Genomic DNA, 16,958 nt, shown 5'->3' with positions numbered 1-16,958 from the left:
ACCAAAAATTATAAAGGCTTAAGTTGTACATCATTTAGTCACCACTTTTATTCTCTGAGTCTCTTCTATGTTTCAGGCATTGTTGTGGGCACTGGGAATACAGCAGTGAACAAAACAGACTAAAAAATCCCTTTCTGTATGGAGATAGAAGCAAATAAGTAAATAACATATATAAAATGTTAGATAGATGATAAATACTATGAAAAAACAAAGCATCAGGAAGGAATGCTTATAATTGCCATTTGAAACACAATGGTAACTAAGTTGAGATCTCAACATAAAACATAAAAAGGTGTAGGAACAAGTCACCAGGATGACTTTGGGAGAGGAGAGGTTGGCGTAGCTGAAGACACTGAGCAATGCTCATGGTGAGTGTACTTAGAGGAGAAGTCAGAGAGCAAGGGGTTCAGATCATGTAGGGCCTTGCAGGGCAGGTAACAATATAGAGCCATTGGAGAGTTTTGGGCAGAGTAACATGATTTAATTTGTATCTAAAAGAATCCCTTTGACTATTGTTTTAAGAACAGAAAAGAGCAAGGGGAACTGATTGCAAGTTTACTGTCTTGGATGTATTTTAAAGTAGACACTATAGGGTTTTCTCAGGAATTGGATTTGGGGTATGAATGAAAGAGGGAAATTAAGGATAACACTAAAGTTTGGGGCCTGAACAATGAGAAAGATGGAGTCATCATTTAATAAGATAGATAACTGTAAGAGGAGCAGGCTTGATGCAAGGGTGAGAAAGGTAAGAAGTTGTGTTTTTAAATTATTAAAATCGAGTTTCACATTCAATATCTAAGTGAAGACAGTGAGTAGATAGAAGAATCTAGAAATGTGGAGTATAGCCATAAGTCCAGACCTAAGATACACATTTGAAAGTTATTGGTATGTAGATGGTATTTAAAGCCAAGATTGCAGGAAGAGATCATTAAGGGAATAAGATTAGAGAAGCTAAGAGACCCAAGGACTAATCCCAAGTCACTGGGATTTTCCTGGAAGAAAATAAAAATATGCTTCCAGGAGGACAAGGGATCCATTGTGTAAAAAAACTGCCGTTGATCAAGTAAGATAAAGACTAGGAACTGATCATTGGGCTTAGACATATAATAAATGTTACTGATAATCCTCATCAGAGCTGTTTTGGTATAATGGTAGGGATGAAAGTCCCATTGAAGAGGTTTCAAGAAATAGTGGTGCAGAAGTACACATAATGAATTTTGTTGTAAGGTAAACAGAAATGAGGTAATATCTATAAAATATCTATAAAAGGTATGGAATCTAGAGGAATGCTTATTTTACTAAATTGCATTTTATTTATTAAATGTATTCCCATGTTTCAAAATCAAAATGATAGAAAAAGTATTTTCTATTGTAAGTATTTCTGCCATTTTTCTCATTCTGCTATCTATGAATACCTCTTTTTAAAGTTTGTTTTATATTTCTCAGGTTTATTAGAAGACAAATATAAATAGTTCTCTTAATCTGCTTTTTGTACCTATATGTTAGATCTAAGTTAAATTCTTACTTTTTTGCATCTAGTATCCTGGAAGTATTTCCATTTCAGTATGTATGTGAAGGGCTCTCATTCTTTTTTTACAGCTAAATAGTATTACATTTTGTGTATATACTATGGTTTATTTAATAAATCCCCTCAGAGGGATGTTTAGAGTGTGCCTTTTGCTATCACAAACAATGTTGTAATACATAGCTTCAGAAATAGTATTTGTGTATGTCTGCATTCCTAGAAGTGACTACTAGTTTAAAGAGCAATGCATGTGTGATTCTGGTAGATACCGCTGACTGCCTGCCATAGTAGTTGTGCCATTTTCTGTTTCTACTAGCAATGTATGAAAGTGCCTATTTCCTCAAAATCTCACCAGAGTGGGCTTTCAAACTTCTCGAATTTTACTAATCCAGTAATAACTGGAAATAGCAATTAATATAATTTATCTCATTGTAATTGAAGTTGAGACTTTAAAAACTGTGTCTAAGTGCATTTGCATGTTATTCTGTGACCTGGCTAATCAAGTTCCTTGCTCATTATTGCATTAGAGCTTGTGTTTTTAAAATTCTCAATTTATAAGAGCTCTTTATACAATACAGAGATAGATCTTTGCCTAAGAAGTTACAAATATTATTTCCCTGATAGTACTTTGTCTTTGATGTTTTGTAACATTTTTAGTATAAAATAAAACTAACAGAAAACCACCTAAAACAAATAAATGGTTTCCTGAATTTAATTGTAACTGCCACCCTGGTCATGAAGTGGACATTTCTAGTTATCCCAGAAGCCTTGTTTATTACTCTGCCTCATTCACAACTCTCTTCTTCCCCTAAAGGTATCTACTATCCTGCATTTTACAGTAATAACTCTTGGTTTTCCTCATTATTTCACTACCTAAGTATATATCTCTAGATTCTTTAATTTAGTCTTGTCCATTTTTAACCTGATATGTCTTTTAAATTCCTTTTAATCTACAGGTTTCCTACCATTTAACTTTTTCCATACAATTAATCTCTTGAAGAATTCAGAACATTTGATCTATAGAGGTTTTTTTTTTTATCATCTGGATGTTATTGATTGTACACTCCTGGTGTAGACAATACACTCTATTGTCCTCTGGATTTTCTATCAATTGGGAGGCAGACCCAAAGGGTTGATTATACTTACATTCGACCTCTTCGGAATGATTATGTGTGGCATTGTACTCTTTCATCAGGAGGTATATAATGTCTAGTTTTTGTTCTTTGTGATGTTTACACCCATTGCTGCTTAATACCTAGATATATTAATTTATTAACAATTGCAAAATGGTGATATTTTAATTCTATTATGTTTTAAAACTATTTTTGAGAATAACTTTAATGAGACATTTCCTCTCATTAACATTGTTATTAATGATGTAGGCCAAATAGGAAAGGCAAGAGAAATGCTTGTTTCTTTTATATATCCAGCTTTTTAAGAAATACGTGTTTGCCAGTCATCCTAATAAAGTAAATAGTACCATTATAAAATTATGGATTAAATCCATATTTGAAAGCCTACCTAAAACGTCTGATTTCCTAGGACACATTATTTGTCCATATAGGTTCTTCTGAAGACAGGTTTAAGCAGATGAATTTTCATAGAAGAAAAAGAGAAATCTGACAATAAGATTGGGTTAGACAATACTTTATTGCCAGAGGTGGAATATTTATTCATTGTAAGATAATTAGCAGTATCCCTAGTCTCACTTACTATTTTCTTCAGCTGTAAAAACAAAAGCTGTGCCCAAATATTGTCAAATGTCCCCTGAGAAGCAAAATTACCTCAACTGAGAAAGACTCAGATGAATGCAATTTCAATCATACTCCCAGCAGAAATTTTATAGAAATTAACAACATAATTCTAAAATTTATATGATAAGCAAAAGACCTAGACAGTCCAAAGCACCCTTGAAAAAAGACAACACGAAGGACATAGAGTACTTTCTATAACAGTTTCTAAGATGGGGGTGGGTACTAAAATAATTATTGACAACCGAACCAATGGAACAAAACAAACAGCCTAGAAACCAACTAAGACTTAAACAATTGTTTGAGGAAGAAATGTGTTTGGGAAAGACATATGTTTTCAATAAATTGTTCTGATCCAAGTCGATATCCATATGGCAAAATAGTTAAATGTGACCCTATATCACAGCATACATAAAATTGATTGGGAGATGACTCATAACCTAAATGTAAAAGTCAAGTATCATAGAACTTTTAAAATAAAATAAGCAGAAAAATATTTTCATTACAAGGGAATAAGCTAGTGTTTCCTATACAATATAGAAATAAATATAAAAGTAAAAATTAATACAATGGACATTTTTAAAATCTAATATACTTCCCATTAAAGGTCACCATTAAGAAAATGAATAGGTACACCACAGATTCAAAAAAATTTACAAAACATATATCTAACCAAGGACTAGTCTCATGGGTATACAAAGATCTAAAAATGATAATACCAGGACAAAAATATTTATTTTTAAAAAGGCAAAAATGAAATGTGAACTAACAAGGTTATGGATCAAGTAGGAGTATAAAGCTGTACAACCGGTTTAGGAAAGGTTCTGGTTCTTACACAACTAACATTTACCTACACTAAGACCCCACAATTCTACTCCTAGACATTTTCCCATGAAAAAAAAAATGTGTCAACAAAAAGACTTACATGCAGGTATTCATAGCAACTTTGTCATAACCAAGAAAGTCAAACAACCCAGGTGTCCATCAATAGAGGAATAGATAAAACAAATTGTGATGTATTCATATAATGAAATACTATCCAATTAATTGAAACAAACATATCTGCATGAAACAACAAGAATGAAACTTAAAAGCACTATTGTGACTGAAAGAAGCCTTAGGTAAAAGAAAATGTAGACATAATTTCATATAAATGATATTCTAGAATGGTGAAAATCAATCTAGGGAGGATTAGTGGAGATTAACTGGAAATAGATATGAGGGACCTTTTTGAGTGACGACAATGTTCTATATCTTGATAATTGAGTAATGACGTATGCATGTTTTCAAAAAACAACTGTATATTTTAATTTAATTTTATTTTTTGTTATTTTTTAATTATACTTTAAGTTCTAGGGTACATGTGCACAACGTGCAGTTTTGTTACATATGTATACATGTGCCGTGTTGGTTTGCTGCACCCATTAACTTGTCATTTACATCAGGTATTTCTCCTAATGCTATCCCTCCTCCATCCCCTCACTCCACGACAAGCCCCGGTGTGTGATGTTCCCCGCCCTGTGTCCAAGTGTTGTCATTATTCAATTCCCACCTGTGAGTGAGAACATGCGGTGTTTGGTTTTCTGTCCTTGCGATAGTTTGCTCAGAATGATGGTTTCCAGCTTCATCCATGTCCCTGCATAGTATTATTATTTATGGTTGCATAGTATTCCATGGTGTATATATGCCACACTTTCTTAATCCAGTCCATCACTGATGGACATTTGGGTTGGTTCCAAGTCTTTGCTATTGTGAATAGTGCTGCAATAAACATATGTGTGCATGTGTCTTTATACTAGCATGATTTATAATCCTTTGGGTATGTACCCAATAATAGGATCGCTGGGTCAAATGGTATTTCTAGTTCTAGATCCTTGAGGAATCGCCACACTGTCTTCCACAATGGTTGAACTAGTTTACAGTCCCACCAACAGTGTAAAAGTGTTCCTATTTCTCCACATCCTCTCCAGCACCTGTTGTTTCCTGGCTTTTGAATGATCGCCATTCTAACTGGTGTGAGATGGTATCTCATTGTGGTTTTGATTTGCATTTCTCTGATGACCAGTGATGATGAGCATTTTTTCATGTGTCTGTTGGCTGCATAAATGTCTTCTTTTGAGAAGTGTCTGTTTATATCCTTTGCCCACTTTTTGATGGGGTTGTTTGATTTTTTAATTGTAAATTTGTTTATGTTCTTTGTAGATTCTGGATATTAGCCCTTTGTCAGAAGGGTAGATTGCAAAAATTTTCTCTCATTCTGTAGGCTGCCTGTTCACAATGATGGTAGTTTCTTTTGCTGTGCAGAAGCTCTTTAGTTTAATTAGGTCACATTTGTCTATTTTAGCTTTTTAAATTTTATTAATTTTAGTGTACATAAATTTTACAGAAACTAAAAAATGAACTCTAGTAAGTGATACATATGCTGAGGTATTGAGGAAGTATGCACTGTCTACAATTAGAAGTCCATCAAAATTAAGGTGGTTTGACAGGTGGACATATTGATAACTGTGATTTAAAAAACTGTAGACAATAGTAATAATAGAATTGAGGTAGCAGGTATATTAGAGTTCATTATAAAATGTTTTCAACGGCCTGTATATCTCAGCCTTTATGTGGTAAAATGGGGGAAAGTGGGTAATGTCTATAAAATACTCAAAGAAAATGTGCCCCTCAGATTTTATTTTCAGCCAGTTTGAGCTTCAAGTATAAAGGCTAAGACAAATCATTATGAATGTGCAAGAACACATAAGGTATTTGTCCCATAGGCATTTCATGAGAGCCTATTGTAGAACAAGCTTTAGAAATCCAGTATAATTAGCGAGGTGACAACATAAAGATTAATATAGAATTACAGGGAAATAGCCAGTGGTTGGTTAATGAATACTGCAGACTAAGCTCTGATTTTTTCTCTTGCCCAAATTCCTATCTAAGTGGTCTAGGGAGTCATGCCCTACAAACCTTAAATTTTCATCAGATGGGTTTTATTTGACCCTGTATATTGTGACTTACTTTCCAATTTGACTCTGGCTTAACAAGGAAGAAAATCAAAGTGTTCTACCCCAAAATATATTTCCTTGTCATACCTTGAAATTGCCCTGCAGAGTCTCTTGTGGGAAAAATTCACATTCTATAGAGAATCCCCTTCCCCCTTTGTTTTCCTTCCTTCCTTCCCAGATCCAGGAGATAATCAACTCAGGGCCAGACACCCTTTTAAATCCAATAAAAAACAATTTACATCCTGCTTTCTCTAAAGTCCGCTATCTAAGAGCTTCCTCTACACAATAAAACTTGCTCTCCACAATCCTTTAACCTGAACATTCCCTTCTGGGGATCCCAGCTCTTTAGACAAACTCAATTGTCAACCAGAAAATGTTTAAATTTACCTATAGCCTGGAAGCCCCCACTTTGAGTTGTCCTGCCTTTCTAAGCCAAATCAATGTATATTTTTTTTAATTTATTATACTTTGTTTTAAATTTATATATATATATATTTCATATACTTTAAGTTTTAGGGTACATGTGCACAACATGCAGGTTAGTTGCATATGTATACATGTGCCATGCTGGTGTGCTGCACCCAGTAACTCATCATTTAACATTAGGTATATCTCCAAATGCTATCCCTCCCCCCTCCCCGCACTCCACAACAGGCCCCGGTGTGTGATGTTCCCCTTTCTGTGTCCATGTGTTCTCATTGTTCAATTCCCACCAATGAGTGAGAACATGTAGTGTTTGGTTTTTTGTCCTTGCAATAGTTTGCTGAGAATGATGGTTCCCAGCTTCATCTATGTCCCTACAAAGGACATGAACTCATCTTTTTATGGCTGCATAGTATTCCATGGTGTATATGTGCCACATTTTCTTAATCCAGTCTATCATTGTTGGACATTTGGGTTGGTTCCAAGTCTTTGCTATTGTGAATAGTGCCACATTACACATACGTGTGCATGTAACTTTATAGCAGCATGATTTATAATCCTTTGGGTATATACCCAGTAATGGGATTGCTGGTCAAATGGTATTTCTAGTTCTAGATCCATGAGGAATCACCATACTGACTTCCACAGTGGTTGAACTAGTTTACAGTCCCACCAACAGTGTAGAAGTGTTCCTATTTCTCCACATCCTCTGCAGTACCTGTTTCCTGACTTTTTAATGATTGCCATTCTAACTGGTGTGAGATGGTATCTCATTGTGTTTTCGATTTGCATTTCTCTGATGGCCAGTGATGATGAGCATTTTTCATGTGTCTGTTAGCTGCATAAATGTCTTCTTTTGAGAAGTGTCTGTTCATATCCTTCACCCACTTTTTGATGGGGTTGTTTGTTTATTTCTTGTAAATGTGTTGGAATTCATTGTAGATTCTGGATATTAGCCCTTTGTCAGATGAGTAGATTGCAAAAATTTTCTCCCATTCTGTAGGTTGCCTGTTCACTCTGTGGGCAAGGACTTCATGTCTAAAACACCAAAAGCAATGGCAACAGAAGCCAAAATTGACAAACGGGATCTAATTAAACTAAAGAGCTTCTGCACAGTAATTTATTATACTTTAAGTTCTGGGATACATGTGCAGAACGTGCAGGTTTGTTACATAGGTATACACGCGCCATGGTGGTTTGCTGCACCCATCAACCCGTCATCTACATTACGTATTTCTCCTAATATTATCCCTCCCCTAGCCCCCCATGCACTGATAGGCCCCAATGTATGACATTCCCCTCCCCCTGTCTATGTGTTCTCATTGTTCAACTCCCACCTGTGAGTGAGAACATGCGGTGTTTGGTTTTCTGTTCTTGTGTTAGTTTGCTGAGAATGATGGTTTCCAGCTTCATCCATGTCCCTACAAAGGACATGAACTCATCCTTTTTTATGGCTGCATAGTATTCCATGGTGTATATGTGCCACATTTTCTTTATCCAGTCTATCACTGATGGGCATTTGGGTTGGTTCCAAGTCTTTGCTATTGTGAACAGTGCTGCAATAAACATACGTGTGTATTTTTTTTTATAGCAGCATGATTTATACTCCTTTGGGTATATCCCCAGTAATGGAATTGCTGGGTCAAATGGTATTTCTGGTTCTAAATCCTTGAGGATTTGTCACATTCTCTTCCACATGGTTGAACTAATTTACACTCCCACCAACAGTGTAAAAGTCTTCCTATTTCTCCACATCCTCTCCAGCATCTGTTGTTTCCTGACTTTTTAATAACTGCCATTCTAACTGGCATGAGATGGTATCTCATTGTGGTTTTGATTTGCGTTTCTCTAATGACCAGTGATGATGAGCTTTTTTTCATATGTTTGTTGACTGCATAAATGTCTTCTTTTGAGAAGTGTCTGTTTATATCCTTTGACCACTTTTTGATGGGGCTGCTTTTTTTTTTCTTGTAAATTTGTTTAAGTTCTTTGTAGATTCTGGATATTAGCCCTTTGTCAGATGGATAGATTGCAAAAATTTTCTCCCATTCTGTAGGTTGCCTGTTCACTCTGATGATAGTTTCTTTTGCTGTGCAGAAGCTCTTTTGTTTAATTAGATCCCATTTGTCAATTTTGGCTTTTGTTGCCATTGCTTTTGGTGCCAAACCAATCTATTTCTTAAATGTATTTGATTGATGTCTCATGCCTTCCTAAAATATATATACGAATAATATAAAATATATATTTTTTAAAATTTTATATTAATAATATATACATATAAATTAGTTTATGAAGGCATATAAATATATATAGCTTTCTATACTATAAGGAAAAATAAATATTGGTAAAATTGTATATATAAATATATATATGTAAATATATATATACAAACACACACACACACACACACACACATATATATATATAAAACCAAGCTGTATCCCAACCACCTTGGGCACATATTGTCAGGACCTCCTGAAGGCTGTGTCAGGGGCCATGGTCACTTATATTTGGCTCAGAATAAATCTCTTAAAATATTTTACAGAGTTTGGCTCTTTTCATCAACAATACAAAAGTAAAGCTACATGGGAGGAAAAAGTTCTAGGAGTCTATAGTACCATAGAGAGGCTATAATAAAAGACAATTATGTCTATGTTTTCAAATAGCTAAAATAGCAGATTTTGAATATTTTCAATACAAATAAATGATAATTTTTTTATTATGAATATGCAAATCACCCTGATTTGATCATTGCACATTGCATATGTGTATTGAATTATCACATTGTACCCCACACATATATACAAATAGTGTCAGTTAAAAATAATGAGTATAATAAATTATAGTAATAAATATGACCATAATAAAAAACAATATATAGTATAAAGAGTTACAACTATTAATTTGAAAAGAAATAATATATAGTATATAGAGTTACAACTATTAATTTGAAAAGAAATGATATTTTATCATAACCATTTTCCAACCCATGGTAAATTAATTGACCTAAGTTAGCCATTCTCAAAATTTAATGTGCAAAATAATTACCCAGGAAATTTGTTAAAGACTTCTAGGCACCACCTCCAGAGATTGTGATTTACCTGTCTGGGGTGGAGCCACTGATTTGCATTTCTTATAAGCTTCTAGGTGGTACCAAGGTGGGCCCACAGAACACAATTTGAGTGGCACTGATGTAGACAATGGTCTGTAATAGTTGCTAATATCACAGAAGGAGAGTCAACTAGATATGTCTTCTGATTAAAACACACCATGCCACATGTGTTGTTGTCATGCCAAAAGTAACTACAAACCAGAATTAGAACAAGCCTCTATATCCTACCACCAATTCTTCTGAAAATAAAAAAGTTAGGTAAACATTATATAACCATGGAAATGTAATCAGCAAAGCCCAAGTTATGGGAAATTCTGCAGGACTTAGGACCCAGTTACTTTAGCAAAAAATTACAAGGAAATAAAAGGAGGGGCGAAATTATAGTTTAAAGTGACTCAGAATTTATATCAACCTATCACATTGTATAGAAGTTATTTAGGCCTAAAATAAAAGATAAATGGTAAAGTAAAATTTATAATACAAGTGAGAAAATTTGGAAACTCTATGTGATATTAAGTGCTTGCTGTTTTTTTTAGGCATAACAAAGGTTCACTATGATCATAAAAATGCAGTCTGATTTTATCTAGATACATCTCAAATATTTATAAAATTATATTTTGTCTGTGAACTCCTTTTAAATAACCTTGTTTGGTGGTGAGTATGTATTAGATTAAACAAGATTAGCTATGAGTTGCTAATTGCTAAAATTGGGTAATGGATACATGGGGATTCAATATGGTAATCGTTTGATTACCTACTTTGGTAATCATTTGATTGTTTCCATAATTAAAAAAAAAACATGTCACTGTAATAACTGAAGAATAATTCATTAGTTTGCATATAATTAGGCAATGTTGCAAGGCTGAATCATCAAATAATCCATATAGGGCTATTCATAACATAAAGGACAGATTGAAAATAAATGTCAATCTATTTCATGTTGTAAAAAATCCCCATAAACTTCTACAACCAAGGTGATTTACCAGTCAGCAGGAGACACTCCAGAAGCATATACTGAAAGAAATTTGAAAAGTAGTTATACCACGATCACATAGAATATCACTGGTATACGATAAAACCAAAAACCATTGCTCCCCTCCATCCTTCCCTTTCCTTTTGCCAAATGTTATTGTATCAAATTCTCATGTCCTGTTCAACATTGTATTTTTTTTTTAACATATTATCCCACTGTTACTTGTTTCTTTGCTCTTTTTTTTTTGAAGCTAGAATACATTGCAAATTGTGATTTTTCAGTGTAGGCTTGCTAAGTAAAATGAAATAATCTTGCTTAACTAACTAATTGGGATTTTATATAATGTGCTATTTTTCTATTTTTATGTAAGCATGGGTGCTTTTCTAACAATGATGCTTACACATTCTTAAATTGCTTTGCATAATGTATGCTACAACAAATTTTTTTAATATAGAAAAAAATATTTAATGTGCCAATTGCTCTCCAAAGGAACAATTTACACCATCATTAGCCGTCATGAATAACCAGTGTCATCAAAAGTATTTCACCGTTGTCAATTTGTTGAGTGAAATATGCAGCTGCAGTACTTTATTTCCCAGTGATTATGTGAATTGTTTCATGTGTATATTTGCATTAATCTTTGGTGATTTCCTTGTTCACAGCCTTTGCTTACTTTTTTCTGTTGGAATATTTATCTTTTTTCATTGATTTGTAGGATTTACTGATGTGTTCTAAATACGAATCCTTAATTTGTTAGACATGTTGCAAATATATTTTCAGTTGGTTGTTCTGCTTTGAACTGTGTCTATTGTATCTAAATTTTTAATTTAATATACTCTCTTATTGTGGGAATTTAAATTACCAACTGTTTCGTGTTACCAATAGCACTGAAATTATTTTCTGCTGTATAAAACATAGCAAATTTAATTATTTTAGTTTTAATTCTAATAATAATTTTAAATGAATTATTTATATGGTGCCTACTCCCTGTCAAGTGAAGTGATAAGTACTTTAAATATTTTTTCAATAAAATCTCAAAACAACTCATGTGACATAATAATCCTTAATTAGCAAAGGAAGAAATTTAAATTTAGAAATGTTAATTGGGTTATATAAACTCAAACTGCTACTAAGGAGTGAAACTAGAATTTTGTTCAAAACCTTTTTGTTATGAAAGCTACAACTCTCTTCATTATGATCTACTGCAGCTATTCTTATTGTAGCTAATCATGAGCTGTAAGTTTCAAGAAGGCAAAAACGATGTAGTCAATTTATAAACTCTATACTCTTTTCAAAGAGCAGGTACTGAGTAAATATATATTAAATGCATATGTCAGCTGATGAACCTCATTTTGGTAAAACGTATTTAATTAGTATGATATTAACTTTCTCAGAAGCTTTGGCAACTTTTTAAGAGGGGGATGTTTGCCTCATTAGAGGATTGTTTATTAGTTTAAATTTGGCAGGTAGGAGATATTTGGAGGAAGATGGATCAAGTCTTTAGTCTTTGAAGAGTCTGTGATGTGTTAACACATAGGCTGTCACTCCCCCTGTATTTAAGGTAGTAACTTTTTTTCTTCTCTAAGTAAGAGTTGTCTTCACATTGAATAAGTTGAGGAGAAAAAAGAAGAGGGGGTTACCTTACTGTCTCAGGAATAGCAAAGGTAGAAAAACAATCTGCATATAAGTGACCCACGTGGTCCAAACCATGTTGTTCAAGGGTCAACTACATTCAAACACTGTCAATCAGTTGATGTTACTGTGGGTAGGTAAAGTAAGACGATGCTGACCTACTGCTGTCATGGAGTTTAAAGTCCAGGAAATTTGCTTGGATTTTCCGTAAGAAAACATATTAGGAGGTTTTTTAGACCTGGTACTGGGACATTATATTTCAACATAACATGCATAAGTAGAAACATTAATAACTGGTGTACAAAATATAGTTAGTCTTTAGAGTACAGACTAGAATAGGAGCAAGGATACCCTTCGGCATTTAACTAGCTTTATTGCCATTTAGCAGTTATCTCTAGTTCACACAGTATTGTGTTCAGCCTAATTAGTGGTGATACTGACAAATAGAGTAAATAACCTTGCTTTTAAAGAAATGTATATTGTGGGGGGGAGGAGCCAAGATGGCCGAATAGGAACAGCTCCGGTCTACAGCTCCCAGCATGAGCGACGCAGAAGACCCGTGATTTCTGCATTTCCATCTGAGGTACCAGGTTCATCTCACTAGGGAGTGCCAGACAGTGGGCGCAGGTCAGTGGGTGCACGCACCGTGCACGAGCCGAAGCAGGGTGAGGCATTGCCTCACTCAGGAAGCACAAGGGGTCAGGGAGTTCCCTTTCCGAGTCAAAGAAAGGGGTGATGGACAGCACCTGGAAAATCGGGTTACTCCCACCTGAATACTGCGTTTTTCCGATGGGCTTAAAAAACCGGTGCACCACGACATTATATCCTGCACCTAGCTCTGAGGGTCCTACGACCACGGAGTCTCACTGATTGCTAGCACAGCAGTCTGAGATCAAACTGCAAGGCAGCAGCGAGGCTGGGGGAGGGGCGCCCGCCATTGCCCAGGCTTGCTTAGGTAAACAAAGCAGCCTGGAAGCTCGAACTGGGTGGAGCCCACCACAGCTCAAGGAGGCCTGCCTGCCTCTGTAGGCTCCACCTCTGGGGGCAGGGCACAGACAAACAAAAAGACAGCAGTAACCTCTGCAGACTTAAATGTCCCTGTCTGACAGCTTTGAAGAGAGCAGTGGTTCTCCCAGTACGCAGCTGGAGATCTGAGAACGGGCAGACTGCCTCCTCAAGTGGGTCCCTGACCCCTGACACCCGAGCAGCCTAACTGGGAGGCACCCCCCAGCAGGGGCACACTGACACCTCACACTGCAGAGTACTCCAACAGACCTGCAGCTGAGGCTCCTGTCTGTTAGAAGGAAAACTAACAAACAGAAAGGACATCCACAACAACAACCCATCTGTACATCACCATCATCAAAGACCAAAAGTAGATAAAACCACAAAGATGGGGAAAAAACAGAACAGAAAAACTGGAAACTCTAAAAAGCAGAGTGCCTCTCTTCCTCCAAAGGAACGCAGTTCCTCACCAGCAACGGAACAAAGCTGGACAGAGAATGACTTCTTTGATGAGCTGAGAGAAGAAGGCTTCAGACGATCAAATTACTCTGAGCTATGGGAGGACATTCAAACCAAAGGCAAAGAAGTTGAAAACTTTGAAAAAAATTTAGAAGAATGTATAACTAGAATAACCAATACAGAGAAGTGCTTAAAGGAGCTGATGGAGCTGAAAACCAAGGCTCGAGAACTATGTGAAGAATGCAGAAGCCTCAGGAGCCGATGCGATCAACTGGAAGAAAGAGTATCAGCGATGGAAGATGAAATGAATGAAATGAAGCGAGAAGGGAAGTTTAGAGAAGAAAGAATAAAAAGAAATGAGCAAAGCCTCCAAGAAATATGGGACTATGTGAAAAGACCAAATCTACGTCTGATTGGTGTACCTGAAAGTGACGGGGAGAATGGAACCAAGTTGGAAAACACTCTGCAGGATATTATCCAGGAGAACTTCCCCAATCTAGCAAGGCAGGCCAACGTTCAGATTCAGGAAATACAGAGAACGCCACAAAGATACTCCTCGAGAAGAGCAACTCCAAGACACATAATTGTCAGATTCACCAAAGTTGAAATGAAGGAAAAAATGTTAAGGGCAGCCAGAGAGAAAGGTCGGGTTACCCTCAAAGGGAAGCCCATCAGACTAACAGCGGATCTCTCGGCAGAAACCCTACAAGCCAGAAGAGAGTGGGGGCCAATATTCAACATTCTTAAAGAAAAGAATTTTCAACCCAGAATTTCATATCCAGCCAAACTAAGCTTCATAAGTGAAGCTGAAATAAAATACTTTACGGACAAGCAAATGCTGAGAGATTTTGTCACCACCAGGCCTGCCCTAAAAGAGCTCCTGAAGGAAGCACTAAACATGGAAAGGAAAAACTGGTACCAGCCACTGCAAAATCATGCCAAAATGTAAAGACTATCGAGACTAGGAAGAAACTGCATCAACTAACGAGCAAAATAACCAGCTAACACATCATCATGACAGGATCAAATTCACACATAACAATATTAACTTTAAATGTAAATGGACTAAATGCTCCAATTAAAGGACACAGACTCACAAATTGGATAAAGAGACAAGACCCATCAGTGTGCTGTATTCAGGAAACCCATCTCACGTGCAGAGACACACATAGGCTCAAAATAAAAGGATGGAAGAAGATCTACCAAGCAAATGGAAAACAAAAAAAGGCAGGGGTTGCAATCTTAGTCTCTGATAAAACAGACTTTAAACCAACAAAGATCAAAAGAGACAAAGAAGGCCATTACATAATGGTAAAGGGATCAATTCAACAAGAAGAGCTAACTATCCTAAATATATATGCACCCAATACAGGAGCACCCAGATTCATAAAGCAACTCCTGAGTGACCTACAAAGAGACTTAGACTCCCACACATTAATAATGGGAGACTTTAACACCCCACTGTCAACATTAGACAGATCAACGAGACAGAAAGTCAACAAGGATACCCAGGAATTGAACTCAGCTCTGCACCAAGTAGACCTAATAGACATCTACAGAACTCTCCACCCCAAATCAACAGAATATACATTTTTTTCAGCACCACACCACACCTATTCCAAAATTGACCACATACTTGGAAGTAAAGCTCTCCTCAGCAAATGTAAAAGAACAGAAATTATAATAAACTATCTCTCAGACCACAGTGCAATCAAACTAGAACTCAGGATTAAGAATCTCACTCAAAACCGCTCAACTACATGGAAACTGAACAACCTGCTCCTGAATGACTACTGGGTACATAACGAAATGAAGGCAGAAATAAAGATGTTCTTTGAAACCAACGCGAACAAAGACACAACATACCAGAATCTCTGGGACGCATTCAAAGCAGTGTGTAGAGGGAAATTTATAGCACTAAATGCCCACAAGAGAAAGCAGGAAAGATCCAAAATTGACACCCTAACATCACAATTAAAAGAACTAGAAAAGCAAGAGCAAACACATTCAAAAGCTAGCAGAAGGCAAGAAATAACTAAAATCAGAGCAGAACTGAAGGAAATAGAGACACAAAAAACCCTTCAAAAAACTAATGAATCCAGGAGCTTGTTTTTTGAAAGGATCAACAAAATTGATAGACTGCTAGCAAGACTAATAAAGGAAAAAAGAGAGAAGAATCAAATAGGCGCAATAAAAAATGATAAAGGGGATATCACCACCGATTCCACAGAAATACAAACTACCATCAGAGAATACTAGAAACACCTCTATGCAAATAAACTAGAAAATCAAGAAGAAATGGATAAATTCCTCAACACATACACTCTCCCAAGACTAAACCAGAAAGAAGTTGAATCTCTGAATAGACCAATAACAGGATCTGAAATTGTGGCAATAATCAATAGCTTACCAACCAAAAAGAGTCCAGGACCAGATGGATTCACAGCTGAATTCTACCAGAGTTACAAGGAGGAACTGGTACCATTCCTTCTGAAACTATTCCAATCAATAGAAAAAGAGGGAATCCTCCCTAACTCATTTTATGAGGCCAGCAGCATTCTGATACCAAAGCCTGCCAGAGACACAACCAAAAAAAGAGAATTTTAGACCAATATCCTTGATGAACATTGATGCAAAAATCCTCAATAAAATACTGGCAAAACGAATCCAGCAGCACATCAAAAAGCTTATCCACCATGATCAAGTGGGCTTCATCCCTGGGATGCAAGGCTGGTTCAATATACGCAAATCAATAAATGTAATCCAGCATATAAACAGAGCCAAAGACAAAAACCACATGATTATCTCAATAGATGCAGAAAAGGCCTTTGACAAAATTCAACAATGCTTCATGCTAAAAACTCTCAATAAATTAGGTATTGATGGGACATATTTCAAAATAATAAGAGCTATCTATGACAAACCCACAGCCAATATCATACTGAATGGCCAAAAACTGGAAGCATTCCCTTTGAAAAGTGGCACAAGACAAGGATGTCCTCTCTCACCACTCCTATTCAACATAGTGTTGGAAGTTCTGGCCAGGGAAATTAGGCAGGAGAAGGAAATAAAGGGTATTCAA

The 16,958-nt window shown here is 35.9% G+C and overlaps 1 long non-coding RNA gene across 1 annotated transcript in view, besides 1 other annotated feature; it reads left to right on the top strand.

The window, feature by feature from the left end:
- LINC01470 (long intergenic non-protein coding RNA 1470) overlaps positions 1–16,958 on the top strand; it is a 353,385-nt gene that overhangs the window by 190,754 nt on the left and 145,673 nt on the right. The gene's annotated exons all lie outside the window — the stretch shown is intronic.
- Positions 12,645–13,224: an enhancer, noted in NCBI's record as "H3K27ac-H3K4me1 hESC enhancer chr5:152147932-152148511 (GRCh37/hg19 assembly coordinates)". NCBI's record gives its function as "activates a minimal SCP1, AML or CMV promoter by ChIP-STARR-seq in naive H9 embryonic stem cells {active_cell/tissue: H9 hESC(naive)}" and the evidence as "EXISTENCE:reporter gene assay evidence [ECO:0000049][PMID:30033119]".

This window comes from Homo sapiens, chromosome 5, assembly GCF_000001405.40.
Source record: "Homo sapiens chromosome 5, GRCh38.p14 Primary Assembly".
In the NCBI taxonomy this organism is placed as follows: domain Eukaryota; kingdom Metazoa; phylum Chordata; class Mammalia; order Primates; family Hominidae; genus Homo; species Homo sapiens.
The sequence above is the reverse complement of the archived record's forward strand: the minus strand, read 5'-3'. Positions and strand labels throughout refer to the sequence as shown.